Source organism: Homo sapiens, chromosome 4, assembly GCF_000001405.40.
Source record: "Homo sapiens chromosome 4, GRCh38.p14 Primary Assembly".
Lineage (NCBI taxonomy): Eukaryota > Metazoa > Chordata > Mammalia > Primates > Hominidae > Homo > Homo sapiens.
In genome coordinates this window covers 144,225,458-144,246,355 of record NC_000004.12, presented here as the reverse complement: position 1 = coordinate 144,246,355, position 20,898 = coordinate 144,225,458, and the positions used below count along the sequence as shown (strand labels likewise).

General features: G+C 35.3%; 1 long non-coding RNA gene across 2 annotated transcripts in view; it reads left to right on the top strand.

Moving 5' to 3' along the window:
- Positions 1 to 20,898, top strand: part of LOC105377462 (uncharacterized) — a 360,687-nt gene that overhangs the window by 315,792 nt on the left and 23,997 nt on the right. The window lies entirely within an intron of this gene.

Sequence of the window (20,898 nt, the reverse complement as noted above, 5' to 3'; positions counted from 1 at the left end):
AGCAACTTCAGCAAAGTCTCAGGATACAAAATCAATGTGCAAAAATCACAAGCATTCCTATACACCAATAATAGACAAGCAGACAGCCAAATCATGAGCAAACTCCCATTCACGATTGCTACAAAGAGAATAAAATACCTAGGAATCCAACTTACAAGGGATGTGAAGGACCTCTTCAAGGAGAACTACAAACCACTGCTCGAGGAAATAAGAGAGGACAGAAACAAAAGGAAAAACATTCCATGCTCATGGATAGGAAGAATCAATATTGCCAAAATAGCCATACTGCCCAAAGTAATTTATAGATTTAATGCTATCCTGATCAAGCTACCATTGACTTTCTTCACAGAATTAGAAAAACTACTTTAAATTTCATATGGAACCAAAAAAGAGCCCACATAGCCAAGACAATCCTAAGGAAAAAGAACAAAGCTGGAGGCATCACGCTACCTGACTTCAAACTATACTACAAGGCTATAGTAATCAAAACAGCATGGTACTGGTACCAAAGCAGATACATGGACCAATGGAACAGAACCAAGGCCTCAGAAATAATACCACACGTCTACAACCATGTGATCTTTGACAAACCTGACAAAAACAAGCAATGGGGAAAGGAAAATTGAAACTGGACCACTTCTTTACACTTTATGCAAAAATAAACTCAATATAATCAGATAAGAAATATTTCCTCCTCTATTTTCTGAAAATGTCTTTATAGAATTGGCTTTTTAAAATTCCTTAAATGTTTGGACCCCTTATGAACTCCTTCCTTACAACTTATACAAAAATAAACTCAATATACTCAGATGAGAAATATTTTCTCTCTATTTTTCTGAAAATGTCTTTATAGAATTGACTTTTTAAAATTTCTTAAATCTTTGGGTATATACCCAGATGGTAGTTTTTTTGCTGTGCAGAAGCTCTTTAGTTTAATTAGATCCCATTTGTCAATTTTGGCTTTTGTTGCAATTGGGCATATACTGGGTATATACCCAAAGGATTATAAGTCATTCTACTATAATCATTTTACTATAAGGACACATGCACATGTAAGTTTATTGCATCAAATTAAAGATTTAAACATAAAACCATAAAAACCCTAGAAAAAAACCAAGGCAATACCATTCAGCACATAAGCATGGGCAAAGACTTCATGAATAAAACACCAAAAGCAATTGCAACAAAAGCCAAAATTGACAAATGGGATCTAATTAAACTAAAGAGCTTCTGCACAGCAAAATAACTACCATCAGAGTGAACAGGCAACCTACAGAATGGGAGAAAATTTTTGCAATCTATCCATCTAATGAAGGTCTAATATCCAGAATCTACAAAGAACTTAAACAAATTCACAAGAAAAAAACAACCCCATCAAAAAGCGGGCCAAAGATATGAATGGACACTTGTCAAAGAAGACATTTATGTGGCCAACAAACATATGAAATAACTGCTCATCATCACTGGTCATTAGAGAATGCAAATCAAAACCACAGTGAAATACCATCTCATGCTAGTTAGAATGACAATCATTAAAAAGTCAGGAGACAACAGACACTGGAGAGGATGTGGAGAAATAGGAATGCTTTTACACTGTTGGTGGGAGTGTAAATTAGTTCAACCATTGTGGAAGACAGTGTGGTCATTCCTCAATGATCTAGAACTAGAAATACCATTTGACCCAGCAATCTCATTACTGGGTATATACCCAAAAGATTGTAAGTCATTCTACCATAAAGACACATGCTCACATATGTTTATTGTGGCATTATTCACAATAGCAAAGACCTGGAATTAACCCAAATGCCCATCATTGATAGACTGGATAAACAAAATGTGGCACATATACACCATGGAATACTATGCAGCCATAAAAAAGGATGAGTTCATGTCCTTTGCAGGGACATGGATGAAGCTGGAAACCATCATTCTCAGCAAACTAACACGGGAAGAGAAAACCAAACACTGCATGTTCTCACTCATAAGTGGGAGTCGAACAATGAGAACATATGGACACAGGGAGGGGAACATCACACACCAGGGCCTGTCGGGGGGTGGGGGGCAAGTGGAGGGATAGCATTAGGAGACATACCTAATGTAGATAACGGGTTGATGGCTGCAGCAAGCCGCCATGGCAGGTGTATACCTATGTAACAAACCTGCATGTTCTGCACATGTATCCCAGAACTTAAAGTATAATTTTTAAAAAGGTAGATTTCAGAATAATAAATATTATAATAAAAAGGAACACTAAATGAGGATAAAGGAGATGGTTCATTGAAAAGATATAGCAAAATATATAATGAGAAAACAGAACTGAACGAAATCCTAGATGGATTTCTGTAAATATGGTTGGAGATTTCAACACCGTTTTTTCAATAGTTGATAGAACACGTAACCAACCAACCAAATAAAAACATCAGAAAGGACATGAAGACTTGAAAAACATTATCAACCAACTTGACCTAACTGATATTTAGAGAATCTTTCAAACCATAATAACCAAATATACAATATTTTCAAATGCACGTGGAATATTTATCAAGAAAGATTATATATGGGACCACAAAATACACCAAATTTAAATAAATTGCAATCATACTGTGGAAGTTCTCTGTCCACAATAAAAATACATTTGACTGGAAAATGTTCACATATGTGTAAATTAAACAACATATTTTTATAATCCATGAATCAAAGAAAAAATCAAAAGAAAATTAGAAAATATGTGGAGTTGAATGAAAATTAAAACATACCATATCAAAATGTATGAGATGGATCTAAAGCAGAGTTCAGAGAAAAATTTATAGCATTAATACTTATATTAAAATCTTAAACCCATGCTGTAAGCTTCTGCCTTAAGTAATGAGAAACAGAAGACAAATTAAACCCAGAATGAGAGTAAGAAAATAAATTCTAAGGATGAGAACACAAATCAATGAAAAGGAAACAGAAAAACAATAGAGAAAATCATAACAAAAACTAGTGCTTTGAGTCAATAAAATTGACAAACCTCCAGTCAGATTGGTCTAGAAAAATAGAAGACACAAATAACCAATATCAGGAATGAACAAAGGGATATAATTATAGATCCTACAGATATTAATAAGATACAGAGTATTGTATGGGTAACACTTTTCAATAAATTTGAAAACCAAGATTAAATGGGGAAATTCTTGGAATGACACTAATTATTTGAAATTTGGTTAGCTACAAATTGAATTTATAGTTAAAAACCTTTCCATAAAGAAAACTCCAGATTCAAATAGCTTCACTGGTGAATGTATCAAACATTTAAGGAATTTTTAAAAAGCCAATTCTATAAAGACATTTTCAGAAAATAGAGGAGGAAATATTTCTCATCTGATTTGATGAGACAGCATTATCCTGATGCCAAAACCAAAGTAATTTTTATACAGACACACACACACACACACTCAGAGAGAGACCAATACTCCTCATAAAGATAAGATTTTTTTTTACTTAATAAAATTCTAGCACTTTTTTTTACTTAATAAATTTCTAACACATTAATATATAAAAAGGATGATACATCATGATCAAGTGATGTTTATCCAAGAAATGCAAATTGACTCAACATTCAGAAATTAATCAATATAATCATTTATTTAAACAGACTGAAAGTGAAAAAAAATAGGTTTAACTCAAAAGATCCTGAAAAAACATTTGGCAAAATCAATATCTATTTTTGATTTTAAAAACTCAGCAAATTTGAAAGGGAAGGAAACTCTCTAAATCTGCTAAAGGACATCTATGAAAAATCTACTGCCCACATTACACTTCATGGTGAAAGGTTGAGTGTTTTTTCCCAAAGACCTGGAACAAGGCAAGGATGTGTGCTTTCACCAAGTCTACTCAACAGTCCCAGAGGTTCTAGTCAGTAGAATAAGTTTTAAAAATAATTAAAACCTATTCATATTGGAAAGTAAAAGGTAAAGCTGTCTTTATTCACAGATGATATGAATGCTCACTAGAATACTAGCATGATGCTTTTAAACCAAATGAGTTTAGCATTGCCCAAAATATAAGATCAATGTATAAAAATTATTTTTCTATACATGTGCAACAATCTTTAGAATTGAAAATTTTAAAAACTATATACCACATACAATAGTATCTAAAAACATGAAATAGACATAAATCTTTAAAAGTTGTGCAAGATTTGTTTGCTGAACACTACAAAACATTGCTGAGAGAAATTTTAAGAGACCTAAATAAGTGGTGATATATATGTCTTGATTTTAGATCAAAAGACTCAATCTGGTTAAGATGTCAGTTCTTTCAAATTGATAGATAGATTCAAAACAATGCTAATCAAAATCCCAGTAGGTTTCCTTCTTCCTCTCAAGAAACTGAAAAACTAATTTTAAATTTTATATGGAGAGAAAAAGGGATTTGCATGGCAGAAACAATCTAGGGGAAGAAAACAAAATTATAAGACTCACATTTCCTGATTTCACTAATTAGGGAAATGCTACCATTATCAAAATAGTATGACATTGTTATAAGAATAGCTATATATATCAATGAAATAAAATTAAGAGTCCAGAAATAGACCCACACTTATGCGATCAATTTAATTTCAATAAAGATGCCAAGAACATTTGTTCTTTGTTTATAGATCACACTTAAAAAATAATGCTGGATCAAATGGACACTCACATGCAAAAGGAAATGAATCTTTATGTTTACTTCATGCCATATACAAAAATTAATTTGAAATAACCATAGACCTAAATGTAAAAGCTAAAACTAAAACTTCTAAGAGACAATATAGAATAAAACATTTTCAACTGTGGATTAGACAAAAGTTTCTTAAATTGAATACCTGACAAACCATACAAGAATAAAAATAAATTGGACTTCTAATTGAACACTTCCATTCTACAAAAGCCACTCCTAAAAGATGAAAAGACAAGCAATTGATTAGAAGAAAATGTTCAGAAAACATATATTTGACAAAGAACTTGTATACACAATATAAGAAGGCAAACAACCAAATTAAAAAATGAGGAAAATATCAAACAAATGCTTCACCAAAGAAGATAAACTGATAACACATTTAAAGACACTTCATATTATCAAGTTATAAAAAATCAAATTAAAACCACAGTAATATTCCACTATCCATCTAATAAAATTACTAACTTTTTTAAAAATAAAATTATCAAATGCTGGGGAGGATTCAGCATATCCATTGATGAAAATCCAAAATCACACACTGTAAAACGTTAGCATTTCCTTTATTTATTTATGTTGATTTTTTTATTTTTAAATGTTGTGGGTACATAGTATGTACCTAGATGAGGTATTTTGATATTTTAAATTCATACTAATCACATCAGGACAAATTGGGTATCTATCACCTCAAGCATTTATCCTTTCTTTATGTTATAAACCATCCAATTATACCCTTTTAGTTGTTTTTAAATGTATAGTAAATTGTTTACTGCGGTCACCCTGTTGTGCTATCAAATATCAGATCTTATTCATTCTATCTAACTATATTTTTGTACCCATTAACTATCCCCGTCCCTCCCCACTCCTTTCTACCCTTTCTAAAGGGTCTATAGTGCAGATTAAGTCACATGTTTCTTTGTTGATTTTCTATCTGAAAGACCTTTCCAATGCTGAAAGTAAGGTGTTGAAGCCTCCAACTATTACTGTGTTGAGGTCTATCTCTCTTTAGCTCTAATAATATTTGCTTTATATATCCCGTGTTAAATGCATATATATTTGCAATTTATATCTTCTTGCTGAATTGACCCCTTTATTATTATATAATTACCTTCTTTGCCTCTTTTGATAGTTTTTGTCTTGAAATCTATTTTATCTGATGTTAAGTGTAACTACTCCTGCTCTATTTTGGTTTCTGTTTGCATGGACTATCTTTTTCTATCCCTTTTTTTTCAGTCTGTGTGTGTGTCTTTATACGTGAATTGTGTTTCTTCTAGGCAAAAAATCATTATGTCTTTTTTTTTCTTTTAACCCATTCAGCCACCCTATGTCTTTTGACTGAAAAGCTTAGTCCTGGAATTTATCCATTTCTTCTAGATATTCTATTTTATTTGTGTAGAGGTGTTTGTAGTATTCTCTGATGGTAGTTTGTATTTCTGTGGGATTGGTGGTGATATCCCCTTTATCATTTTTTGTTGCGTCTATTTGATTCTTCTCTCTTTTTTTCTTTATTAGTCTTGCTAGCAGTCTATCTATTTTCCTCGACACATACAGTCTCCCAAGACTAAACCAGGAAGAAGTTGAATCTCTGAATAGACCTATAACAGGATCTGAAATTGTGGCAATAATCAATAGCTTACCAACCAAAAAGAGTCCAGGACTAGACGGATTCACAGCCGAATTCTACCAGAGGTACAAGGAGGAACTGGTACCATTCCTTCTGAAACTATTCCAATCAATAGAAAAAGAGGGAATCCTCCCTAACTCATTGTATGAGGCCAGCATCATTCTGATACCAAAGCCGGGCAGAGACACAACCAAAAAAGAGAATTTTAGACCAATATCCTTGATGAACATTGATGCAACAATTCTCAATAAAATACTGGCAAAAAGAATCCAGCAGCACATCAAAAAGCTTATCCACCATGATCAAGTGGGCTTCATCTCTGGGATGCAAGGCCAGTTCAATATACGCAAATCAATAAATGTAATCTAGCATATAAACAGAACCAAAGACAAAAACCACATGATTATCTCAATAGATGCAGAAAAGGCCTTTGACAAAATTCAACAACCTTCATGCTAAAAACTCTCAATAAATTAGGTATTGATGGGACGTATTTCAAAATAATAAGTGCTATCTATGACAAACCCACAGCCAATATCATACTGAATGGGCAAAAACTGGAAGCATTCCCTTTGAAAACTGGCACAAGACAGGGATGCCCTCTCTCATCACTCCTATTCAACATAGTGTTGGAAGTTCTGGCCAGGGCAATCAGGCAGGAGAAGGAAATAAAGGGTATTCAATTAGGAAAAGAGGAAGTCAAATTGTCCCTGTTTGCAGACGACATGATTGTATATCTAGAAAACCCCATTGTCTCAGCCCAAAATCTCCTTAAGCTGATAAGCAACTTCAGCAAAGCCTCAGGATACAAAATCAATGTACAAAAATCACAAGCATTCTTATACACCAATAACAGACAAACAGAGAGCCAAATCATGAGTGAACTCCCATTCACAATTGCTTCAAAGAGAATAAAATACCTAGGAATCCAACTTACAAGGGATGTGAAGGACCTCTTCAAGGAGAACTACAAACCACTGCTCAAGGAAATAAAAGAGGATACAAATGGAAGAACATTCCATGCTCATGGGTAGGAAGAATCAATATCATGAAAATGGCCATACTGCCCAAGGTAATTTACAGATTCAATGCCATCCCCATCAAGCTACCAATGACTTTCTTCACAGAATTGGAAAAAACTACTTTAAAGTTCATATGGAACCAAAAAAGAGCCCGCATTGCCAAGTCAATCCTAAGCCAAAAGAACAAAGCTGGAAGCATCACACTACCTGACTTCAAACTATACTACAAGGCTACAGTAACCAAAACAGCATGGCACTGGTACCAAAACAGAGATATAGATCAAGGGAACAGAACAGAGGCCTCAGAAATAATGCTGCATATCTACAACTATCTGATCTTTGACAAACCTGAGAAAAACAAGCAATGGGGAAAGGATTCCCTATTTAATAAATGGTGCTGGGAAAATAGGCTAGCCATATGTAGAAAGCTGAAACTGGATCCCTTCCTTACACCTTATACAAAAATCAATTCAAGATGGATTAAACACTTAAACGTTAGACCTAAAACCATAAAAACCCTAGAAGAAAACCTAGGCATTACCATTCAGGACATAGGCATGGGCAAGGACTTCATGTCTAAAACACCAAAAGCAATGGCAACAAAAGCCAAAATTGACAAATGGGATCTAATTAAACTAAAGAGCTTCTGCACAGCAAAAGAAACTACCATCAGAGTGAACAGGCAACCTACAGAATGGGAGAAAATTTTTGCAACCTACTCATCTGACAAGGGCTAATATCCAGAATCTACAATGAACTCAAACAAATTTACAAGAAAAAAACAAACAACCCCATCAAAAAGTGGGCGAAGGACATGAACAGACACTTCTCAAAAGAAGACATTTATGCAGCCAAAAAGCACATGAAAAAATGCTCACCATCACTGGCCATCAGAGCAATGCAAATCAAAACCACAATGAGATACCATCTCACACCAGCTAGAATGGCAATCATTAAAAAGTCAGGAAACAACAGGTGCTGGAGAGGATGTGGAGAAACAGGAACACTTTTACACTGTTGGTGGGACTGTAAACTAGTTCAACCATTGTGGAAGTCAGTGTGGGGATTCCTCAGGGATCTAGAACCAGAAATACCATTTGACCCAGGCATCCCATTACTGGGTATATACCCAAAGGACTATAAATCATGCTGCTATAAAGACACATGCACACATATGTTTATTGCGGCATTATTCACAATAGCAAAGACTTGGAACCAACCCAAATGTCCAACAATGATAGACTGGATTAAGAAAATGTGGCACATATACACCATGGAATACTATGCAGCCATAAAAAATGATGAGTTCATGTCCTTTGTAGGGACATGGATGAAATTGGAAATCATCATTCTCAGTAAACTATCGCAAGAACAAAAAACCAAACACCGCATATTCTCACTCATAGGTGGGAATTGAACAATGAGACCAGATGGACACAGGAAGGGGAACATCACACTCTGGGGACTGTTGTGGGGTGTGGGGAGGGGGAGGCATAGCATTGGGAGATATACCTAATGCTAGATGACAAGTTAGTGGGTGCAGTGCACCAGCATGGCACATGTATACATATGTAACTAACCTGCACAATGTGCACGTGTACCCTAAAACTTAAAGTATAATAATAAAAGAAAAGAAAAAAAAACTTAAAAAAAAAAAAAGAAAAGCTTAGTCCCTTTATAGTCAATGTTATTATTGACAAGTAGGGAGTTACTCCTGCCACTTTGTTACTTGTTTTCTGGTTGTTTTTTGGTCTCTTCTTTCTTTTCCCTTTTGTCTTCTTTTTAGTGAATGTGATTTTCTCTGGTGGTGTGTTTTAATTTTTTGCTTTTTGTCTTTTGTGTATCTATTGTATGTTTTTTGATTTGAGGTTACCATAAGGCTTGCAAATAATCTTAAAACCTATTATTTTTTCTGATGACAACTTAACAGTTGTCATCAAAACAAACAAACAAGCAAAGAGAAAATTAATAAAAACTCTACACTTTACTTCACCCCCCCACCCCTAATTTTTAACTTTTTGTTGTTTCAGTTTATGTGTTATTATGCTGTCTATGTCTCGAGAAGTTGTAGTTATTATGTTTGACTGGTTCATCTTTTAGTCTTTCTACTCAAAATATGAGTAATTTAGACACCACAATTACTGTGTTATAAAATTCTGTGTTTTTCTGTGTGCTTACTATTAACAGTAAGTTTTGTACCTTCAGATAATTTCTTATTGCTCATTAACATCCTTTTCTTTCAAATTGAGGAACTCCCTTTAGCATTTCTTGTAGGACAGGTCTGGTGTTAATGAAATCCCTCAACTTTTGTTTCTCTGGAAAAGTCTTTATTTCTCCTTACTGTTTGAAGGATATTTTCACTGAATATACTGTTCTAAAATAAAAGATTTTTTTCCTCCAGCAGTTTATATATGTTACACCATACTCTCCTGGCCTATAAGGTTTCCACTGAAAAGTCTATTGCCGACATATGAAAAAATGCTCATTATCACTGGTCATCAGAGAAATGCAAATCAAAACCACAGTGAGATAGCATCTCACAGGAGTTAGAATGGCGATCATTAAAAAGTCAGGAAACAACAGATGCTGGAGAGGATGTGGAGAAATAGGAAAGCTTTTACACTGTTGGTGGGAGTGTAAATTAGTTCAACCATTGTGGAAGATAATGTGGCAATTCCTCAAGGATCCAGAACCAGAAATACCATTTGATCCAGTGATCCCATTACTGGGTATATACCCAAAGGATTATCAATCATGCTGCTATAAAGAGACATGCATACATATGTTTATTGCAGCACCATTTACAATAGCAAAGACTTGGAACCAACCCAAATGTCCATCAGAAAATATGGCACATATACACCATGGAATACTATGCAGCCATAAAAAAGGATGAGTTCATGTCCTTTGCAGGGACATAGATGAAGCTGGAAACCATCATTCTCAGCAAACTATCACAAGGACAGAAAACCAAACACCGCATGTTCTCACACATAGGTGGGAGTTGAACAACGAGAACACATGGACACAGGGTGGGGAACATCACACACTGGGGCCTGTTGGGTGGGGGGCTGGGGGAGGGATAGCATTAGGAGAAATACCTAATGTAAATGACAAGTTGTTGGGTGCAGCAAACCAACATGACAATGTAACAAACCTGCAGGTTCTGCACATGTACCCTAGAATTTAAAGTATGATAAAGAAAGAAAGAGAGAGAGAGAGAGAGAAAAGAAAGGAAAGCGAAAGAAAAGAAAAGAGAAGAAAAGGAAAGAAAATTCTGTTGCCAGACATTTTGGAATGCATGTTATTTGTTTCTATTCTCTTGGTATTTTTAGTATCCTTTCTTTATCCTTGACCTTTGGGAGTTTGATTTTAAATGATTTAAGGTAGTCTTATTCCAGGTAAATATTCGTGGTGTTTTATAATCTTCATATACTTGAATATTGATATCTTTCCCCAGATTTGGAGAGTTATCTATTATTATACCTTTTAATAAACTTTCTACCACAATCTCTCTCTCTCTTCCTCTTTAAGGCCAATGACTCTTAAATTTGCCCTTTTGAGGCTATTTTCTAGATCTTGCGGGCATACTTTATTCTTTTTATTCTTTTTTATTTTATCTCTTCTAACTGTATTTTCAAATAGCCTGTCTTCAAGCTCACTTACTTTTTCTTCTGCTTGATCAATTCTGCTGTTAAGAGACTGATGTGTTCTTCAATGTGACAATTGCATTTTTCAACTCCAGAATTTCTACTTGATTCTTTTTAATTATTTAAATTTCTTTGTTAAATTTATCTCATAGGATTCTAAATTTCTTATCTGTGTTATATTGAATTTCTTTGGTTTTCTTAACACAGCTATTTTGAATTCTCTGTCTGAAAGATCACATATCCCACTCATATCTGTAGGATTACTCACTGGTACCTCCTTGTTTAGTTCATTTGGTGAGGTCATGTTTTCCAGAATTATGTTGATGCCATCCAGGTCTTAATGCCATCTTCTGGATGTTCATCAATATTTGGGCATCGGAGAGCTAGGTATGTATCGTAGTCTTCACAATCTAGACTTGTTTGTATTCATCCTTCTGGGGAGGGCTTTCCATGTATTCTAAGGAATTTGGGTGTTGTAATCTAAGATTTGGTCACTGCAGCCATATCTGAATTAGGCAGCACCCCAAGCCCAGTAACACTGTGGTTCTTGTAGACTTGTGTAGGTACTGACTTGGTGTTCTTGGATAAGATACCAAATAACTCTCTGGATTACCAGGCAGAGACTCTTGTACTTTTCCTTTACTTTCCCCCAAATAAATGGAGTCCCCCTCTCTCTGTGTGATGAGCTGCCTGAAGTTGGAGAGGGGTGACACAAGCATACCTGTGACCACCATCACTGGAACTGTGCTAGTTCAGATGTGATGCCAGCACAGCACTGGGTCTTATCCATGGCCCATGGTAACCATGCCTGGCTGCTGCTTGTTTACTCAAGGTCCTAGGTCTCTAAAATCAGCAGGTGGCAAAGCCAGCTAGGCTTGTGTTTTTCCCTTGAGGGTGGCAAGTTCCCCCTGGTCCCAGGCAGGTCCAGAGATGTCTGGGAGCTGGAGGCTAGAGTTAGAACCCCTAGGAATCTACCTGGTGCTCTAATCTACTACTGCTGAGCTGGCACCCAAGCCACAAAACAGTCCTTCTCACTCTTCACCTTTCCACCATCAGATAAATCTCTCCCTATATCCATCACTATCTCAGGCCCGTGGCAAGTATTGCCTAGCTACCACCAATGTTCATTCAAGGCTCAGAGGCTCTTTGGTCAGGTTGTGGGGAATGCTTTCAGACCTGAGACTTGCCATTAAGGGCTATAGCCTTCTCTCTGGCCCAAGGTAAGTCCAGAAATGTCATCCAAGAGCCGAGGCCTAGAATTGGGGACCCTAAAAGCCCAATTGGCACTCTACCTGACTATGGCTGAGCTGACACCTAAGCTGAAATAAAAGTCCCTTTTACTCTTCGCTCTACTTTTCTCAAGCAGAAGGAGTCCCTCCCTGTAGCCACCACAGCTGAGAATGTTCTGGGTCATACCTGAAGCCAGCATGTTTCCGAGTCTCACCAAAGACCCATGGTGAGTACTTCCTGGCTACCACTGCTGAATTTAGGACCCAGGGGCTCTTTAATAAACAGGTGATAAATTCTGCCAGGACAGGGTCCTTCCCTTCAAAGTAGCATGTTCTCTTCTGGCCAACAGTGTGTCTAGAAATGTCATCCAGGAGGTAGGGTCTAGAATGAGGACCTCAAGACTCTGCCTGGTGCCCTATCTTACTGTGGCTAAGCTGATAGCCAAGTTGCAAGACAAAGTCCTCTTTACTCCTCCCTCTCCTCTACTCAAGCAGAAAGAAGGAGCTGCACTGCCTGGGGTTGGGGAATGCACTCCCTTGGCTGCCCCAGCTAGTGTCTCACTGGGTCATGTGCACCCCCAAGTCTACTGGCCTCTGAGCTCATTACAGCACAAGGACTTGTCCAGGGATTACAATCTTTGTGGCCTAGACAGCTTTTCAAGTTTATTTAAGACCTCAATGCACATTAGCCCACAGTGGTAGGGCTTTCCAGAACTCAGGTTCCAACCAGTGCAATGTATGATTCCCTTCTGGTTAGCGCTGTTCTAAATTCTCCCTCCGCAGTCATCAGCTGAATTTTGCCCAGTATAGCTTTCTTCTGTGAAAGAGCAGCACTGAGTTCCAAAGAAAAGCCCCTCAATCAATGCACTGTCCCTCCCTGAAGCAAACAGATTCTCTCTCTGCACCATGAGGCCACAGCCAGGGTATGGGGGCGGGTTGATGCCAGCAATTCACAACTGTCTTTCTTATCTTCTTCAGTGTCTTTTTCAGTCATATAAAGTTAAAACCAAGTACTATGATTGCTCACCTGATTTTTTTATTCTTACAAAGGTGCTTTTTTTGTGTGGAAAATTGTTCAATTTGGTGTTCCTATGGAGAGAATGATTGGTGGAAGCTTCTATTTGGCCATCTTGCTTCCCATTTTCTTTAAAACTAAGCATATAGATACCATATGACTGAGCAATTTCACTGCTAGGTATTTACTCAAGATAAATAAAAACATATTTTCACACAAAGATTTTTTACCTGAATGATTATAGCAGCTTGTTTATAACAATCAAAAACTAGACACAGTCCAAATGTTCATCTATAGTAAGTGAATAAATTGTGAAAAATGTATATAATGAGTTACTGTTCAACAGCAAACAGAAACAAAATCCTGATACATGCAACAACATGAATGAATCTCAGAATCAGTCTGCTAAGTCAAATAATGTACTGGGTCATACCTGAAGCTAGCATGTTTCTGAGTCTCACCTTTGGGAACCAAAGGGATACGTAATAACTGATTTTATATATATGACATTGTGGAAAAGATAAAACTAGAGGGATAGAAATCAAATCAGTGGTTGCCAGAGACTGAGAGTTGAGATAAGATTGATTCCTCTAATAAAGTACATAAAATCTATACTTTGACCTTGGTGGTAGTTCTATGGCTGTATATATTTGTCAAAAGTAATAGAATTGTACACTTAAAAGGATGAATTTTAGTGTTTGTAAATTATACCTCAACTAACCTGATATTAAAAATAAATAAATATAGAAAACAGTATAGAGGTTCCTCAAAAAATTAAAAATAGAACAACTACATGACCTAGTAATCCCACTACTGGGTATACAGCTGAAGGATTTGGAATCTATATGTCAAAGAGATATCTGCATTTCTTTTTTCATTGCAGCATTATTTGCAATAGCCAAGATATGGAATTAACCTAAGTATCAACAGATGAATGGTTAAAGAAAAGATGGCACATGTTCACCATGGGATACTATTCAGCCTTAAAAAAAAGAAGGAAATACCATCATTTGTGACATGAATGACCCTGAAGGACATTATGCTAAGTGAAATAAGCCAAGCACAGAAACACAAATGCTGCATAATGTCACATACATGTGAAATCTAACAAAGTTAAACTTGTAAAAATAGAGTAGAATGGTAGGTACTAGCGGCTGAGGGTTGGGTGGAGTTGAGATGTTGGTCCAAGGATAAAAAATTTTAGTTAGATAGGAATAATTTCAAGAGACCTATTATATAACATAATGACTACAGTTAATAACAATGTATTGTATTCTTGAAAATTGATGAGAGTATATTTTAAGTATTTCACCACAAAAAATTATAAGTATGTGAGGTAATATGTATGTTAATTAGATTGATTTAGCCATTCCACAATGTATATGTGTTTTGAAACATCATGTTACACACCATAAACATATACAATTTATATCTGTCAAATAAACAAACAAACATAAATAGACATATGCTGAATAAAAACCCTTGAAAATAAAATTACTTATATTAAAGAATGGCTTGTAATAATCACAGTAACTAAACAAATGTGAAAAAAAATTAAAGCAAACAGTAAAAAATATATATATGGAAGACCAAGATATACTAGCATAACAGTATGTGGTATCTCAGAAGTGCATAAGGCACTTCTAATCTGCAATGGAAGATATATATTCAAAGATATTACAGAAGAAAACAACCACGTCTGCAGCCACTAGTGGAATGTTTATAAAATGATGATAACTCTATACACCTATTAAAATGGCTAATATGAATAATGCTGAAAATACCAAGTGCTGATGAAGGGAGCATTGAATGTTCATACGTTGCTTGTGGGAATGCAAAAGGGCATAGCCATTCAAGGGAACAATGTGACAGTTTCACCATGTATGTAAATTTATATACTTCCATATGTTCCAGCAGTCATACTCCTGCATATTTACCTAAAATAAATGAAAATATATATTGACATAAAAACATGTAAATGAATGTTTATAGCAATTCTATTCATAACAATTAAAATGTGAAAACAAGCCAAAAGTCCTTCAGTGGGTGAATAGATAAACAGTCACATTCACATACAATTAAATACTACTCAGCAGTAAAAAGAAGTGTGTTACTGACACCTGTGAAAACTTGGATGAATCTCAAAGGCAGTATTCTGAAAGAGTCAGTCTCCAAAGAGTACATACTACATCATTTAATTTATATGACATTCTTCAAAAGCAAAACCATGTGACAGGGAACAGACCAGTGGTTGTCAGGGGTTGAGGTACAAGGAGGCTATGACTATAAAGGCATAAATAAGGTAGATTTTTGGACTGATGGGACTGCTCTGTGTCCTGATCGCAGTGATGGTTACACAAATTTACAGATGTGTTAACATTAGTAGAACTCTACACATACACACAAAAGAGGCAGTTTTACTATTTGTTAATTTTAAAATAATATTAAAACAATGCAAAATAAGAAAATGAAAACAATAAAGAATTGTGAAGTGTTAGTAACTAGAACAAAAAATGTAAACTAAACACCGCCAACCAAACTTCAATTTCTGGGGGCCTACTTTCTACAGGAAGATTACAAACCTTTGTATTGCATCTCTTTCACTCACAGCCAGCCTAGGAATGTGCCATGATGAGTAACTTTACAGTTTCAGCTGCAGCTGGATCTCTATGTTAGTAACTGTGAATAGATGGGTAATAACAAGCTCCATTTCTTATATACTTCTAATACTCATAGGCCCTGTAGTGACGCATTATCAGAAAGAGAACTGGTATTACCCTATCAGAATATGTCATTCTGCATTGCTGATGGCCATCTTGTGTAGATCATATTGCTTACAAAGATTTTTTTCTTTCTTAATGTGGATCTAGAGGCTATACTGTAATGTCTGTATGAATTGATGTGTTTATCTTTATGAGCTGTGTGTGTGTGTGTGTGTGCAAGAGCCTGTGTGGTATCTTGGTGTGCTTGCATGCTCGGAATAACTAGACAGACTCGCCATTCTCTACCTATAACTGCTTGTGGACATTTTAAGGAAGCTTGACCTAAAGTGTCAAAGCTGATATTGGACTATCCTGCTGTAAGAAGCCCCTACTCCACCTCGCCTCCCACCTCCAACTAGTTTACACTGCTATACTCCAATTTCAGAAGCTAAGAATGTTTTTCTGGAAACATTGTGCATTTGGAAGGGTTGGACAGAAAAGAGGAATGAGGCACCAGGCAACAAAGTCCCAATGGAAGAGATGTGAATGTTTCCTAAAGAAAAGTGCAGGGACATTTTGGAAGAGCAGTAAAAACCGGAGTCTGTCTACAAGGGTACACCTAAGGGAGGGTTAATTTTAATGTGTGTTCTTTCTCTTGGAAAGAGCTAGTGGAATATCCTTATAAACCATATAGCCTTGTTTAACAACCTACGTGCTAGTTTCCCTTAATGAACCCCATTTGTCACTGAAGTCTGAGACCCCCTCCTACATTAGCTTTGTGCGACAAGGGACTACAGACAAGACAGAAGAAAGTAAGGGCATGAGCAGACAGCTCCTCACTCACTCTTGCACTGATGCTAGGGAGATGAAGCAACAAGCTGGGGAGGGAGACAGAGTTCAGAATGGCCAGAGGGTCTATAGTTATGAGGTGAGTGATGGACTTCAGCAAGGCTGGGGCCACGGAGAGAAGATGCTCGTGGCTGCCTTCAGGAGCTGACTTGAGATACAACTCTTTCATTTCCTAAAATATACAGGGCAGCATTTCTTAAGGGACTGTCTACTGACCTGGGGACTTATGTTTTAAATGCACATTCCTAGGCTCTACTTCAGACACATTGAATCAGAATGTTCAAAGGTAGAATCAAGACATTTTACATTTTAAAATGTAACTCCTAGGTAATTCTCATGCAGCATGAGTTTTGAAATTTTATCCTTGAGGTGACCCTTCAGTGAGTAGGTAAACTGACCCTTAGTCATCTCTTTCTCCTCCTCCTTTTTCTTCCTCCTCCTTCTTCTCTTTCTCCTTTCCTCCCTCCTCCTTTTTTTCATCTCTCTTCTCCTCTTCTTCTCTGCCTCCTCATTATGATGATGATTGTTATTTTTATTATTATCTTTACCAGAGAAATTAGAGGGATGGGGATTTTTTTTCTACCACAGACTAATGTAGTTATGAGTTAAATATTTTTAAAGAACTATGAAAAGCAGTGTTCCCCAGGGCCTTCCCTCTATCCTAGTTAGGGATAAAAAATTACACTATTTCATGCTCCCGAAAGAGAATACTTCTCTATAATTAGTAATGCTGTGAGCTGCCACTGTGGAAAAATTGTTTACACACAAAGTTTCTCCCCTGCTGAAGAACGTTCATACGAGTTATGTGAACCCAGTAAAAATGTATCTGTCAGCAAGAAGAGTAATAATTCAGTTCACATGTATTTTTATATGTAGTAATTTCCATAAACTAAGTTTCACACCTTGAATATGTTGCTATAAGGCAGGAATATTTTATAATCTGGAACATTTCCCAAGTATTTTGGATTGGTAATGCCACTTTTTTTTTTTAACATCGTAAAACCCATCTTCACTCTTCCCCTGAGTGACTCAGGTTATAAATTTTGACAATATTCAGGGCAGTTTTACTACATTTTTTTATTTGAAGTCTCATATTTTTTAATAGTTAAAATGTATCCTTTGTCCAGACAGAGAAAAAGTAATAAAAAGATGTTGTAGTGAATTCACAGAAGGAAGAAAACTATTTCTCTTCTAAATGTGTAGATTTCCAAAGTTAGTTTCAAAATTCCTCATTATTCTATGCTCTGTTTATAAGAATATGCATTCATCCATTGTATTCAGTTCTCTTTTAAATACAGTATATTAGAGAAAGCTTTTCAATATTACTTTGGAAAAATATTTTACTACAAAATAATACCTTTACATATTTAAAATGTGTTGGGTTAGAGAATATCAATTTGGAAACATCCTGTTTTTTTTCTTTCCAACTTTTACGTTCAAGGGGTACATGTGCAGGCTTGTTACATGGGTAAGTTGTGTGTCGGGGGGTTGGTATGTAGATTAATTTTGTCACCCAGGTAATCAACATAATAGCCAATAGGTAGTTTTTAAATCCTCACCCTCCTCCACCCTCAAGTAGACCTCGGTGTCTATTGTTCCCTTCTTTGTGTCCATGTGTACTCAGTGTTTACCTTCCTCTTATAAAGGAGAACGTGTGGTATTTGTTTTTCTGTTCCTACATCAAATTGTTTACTATAATGGCCTCCAATTCCATCCATATTGCTGCAAAGGACATGATTTCATTCTTTTTATGACTGCATAGTATTCCATGGTATATATAGAGACATCTGCTTTTATTTTAAAATTACATCTTTATGTCTTAACCTTGAGATTTATTGACTCCATTTTATATACTCCATAAAATATTCAAGAAATGGGTATTTGTGAGACAGCTAAAAAAATCCTGCATGTATTAAATGCCACCCACTGTGAATTAACTCTTTATCACAACACCCTAACATTCTATTTATCCTCATTTTACAGATAGAAATACTAAAGTTCAAAGAGGTTAAACACCTTGCCCATGCCCACATAACCAGTAAAGGAGGCAGCTAAATCTCTAGCTAAGGTCTTCATGACCTCCAAGCTTTTATGGTTCCCAATATGCCAGTGACTTCTCAGCTGCAGGTAAAATAATGCTGAAGTAAATAAGCCTGTTCTGCTGCAAGTCTACTTAAATGCATTATTTAGAAACCAGTTTCAAATATTTTAAATAATTTTATTCATATCACTCTTATTATTGAATAAATTATGAAAATACTGCTTAGTGTCTTATGAACACCACTCCTAAGAAAAAGTATAGAATAAAACAGCATAAATTTTCTCTACCTTAGGATTTTTAAGTCTTTTTAACAGTCCCTTCTAATTTCTGTTATTTTATTTTTTACAAAACAGAAGAATACGAATTTAATAACTATTTTTATAGATTTAAGAATTTCATCATTTAAAATTGTAACTGAAGCAGAACAACTAAATTTACACGACTGTAACCTGTCAGAGTCTTGTCGATTACTCTAACTCTGCCTTTCTAACCATTTGAAATTGTTCTGTTGGTAATTATTACAGTGCTATTCTAGCAATAAAAATGATAGAACCCATGGATAGTTTTATTTAGCATATGTTTATATTATATTTTATTATATGTTCTAAAATTATAAGATTGTTTTCAGGAAATAAAGCATATATCATGTGACGTTTACAGTGGGACCTTTGTGTGAGACCCTACTGATTGATCTTTGGGAAGGACAGACATACTTGGTCATGAATCTGGGGTTACAGCTTTGGAAACTATAGTGATCTTACCCCTACTTGATTCTTCTCTTTCTTAGATCCCTACCGTGTGAAGGATCAAGGCAACACAGAAATGTATATTTACCTTGACACTCAAGAGTTATATATGCAAGAGCAACTGTTCAAAGTCTTTTTAATTTCTAAAAAATCTTTGATATATTGATTTTATTTGCAAATTTCTAGTCATTTTTATATTTATATAACAGTTGTATATACAAATTAACTGCTCAAAATCTTTTCAATTTCTAAAAAAATCTTTGATATATTGATTTTATTTGCAAATTTCTAATCATTTTTATATTAATTTTTCATGACAAAGTAGTAAGCTTAAATAAACTGTAGCCACATAGCAAATAAGTAGTAGAGTAGGGATTCAAACCCAGGTTTATCAAACTACAAAGCCTGTGCATTTTTAGGTAGACCTTTCTGCTTTCGTGATTATTTTTAGCCCTTCTATTCTATGATTTTACCAAGCCCAGGGCATATTTTGAATTTATTCTTTTAATCTAATAAATTCCTGATAACAACTTTTGTCTTTGATTTGCCCCTTTCTCTAAAATGCCAGGTGATGAAAAATAATCAGTTAATGGTTTCAGACCCATTAATCAACTTTTTATTCATATTAAATAATAAAGCAATTTACATGGGTTGGGAATAGGGAGTGGGAAAAGGCAGAAATATAAAATTTGCTTAAAATACCAATTGCTCTAATTTTAACCCAGCAATGTGGGATTTAAAACATGGAATAGCTATTTCATTCAGTCAGGCTTTTCTTTGTTAGTTTTTAACAATTTGGGTCTTTTTTTTTTCTCTTTACAAAATAATAGAGTTGATTAGTTCTGTCTAGAAGTAGGTTTTTGTCTTAAGACTATGTGAAAATAATTTTCGTATTTTTTTTTTACTGGTTTTCTTTCTGTTCAGTTCTTTAGATTCTAAAGTTTAGGAGATGTAAAAAAATATTTATTTATACATAGAGAATGAATTGTTACCATAGTAAAAACAATATATCCCATAGAGATATGTAATATAGGAAAGATAGCAATTATGATGAAAAGTCAGAGTTGACACACTGCTAACAAGACGGTGAACGATTTCAAAATGGTGGTCAGTAAACCAGGGCGCTCCTGGCTCAAGCTGTCTACTATTTATTTTACTAGGAAAAGCCCAGTAATCCCAAATAATATGTTCCAATGAATCTATGAATGTCACTAGTTTTATAATATGTTTTTTGTTTTTTTTTAAACAAAGTGTTCTGGTGTTCATTTCTCTTTTACTATCTGTGTTTATGTCCATTAGGCCATACAGGAAATCCGCTA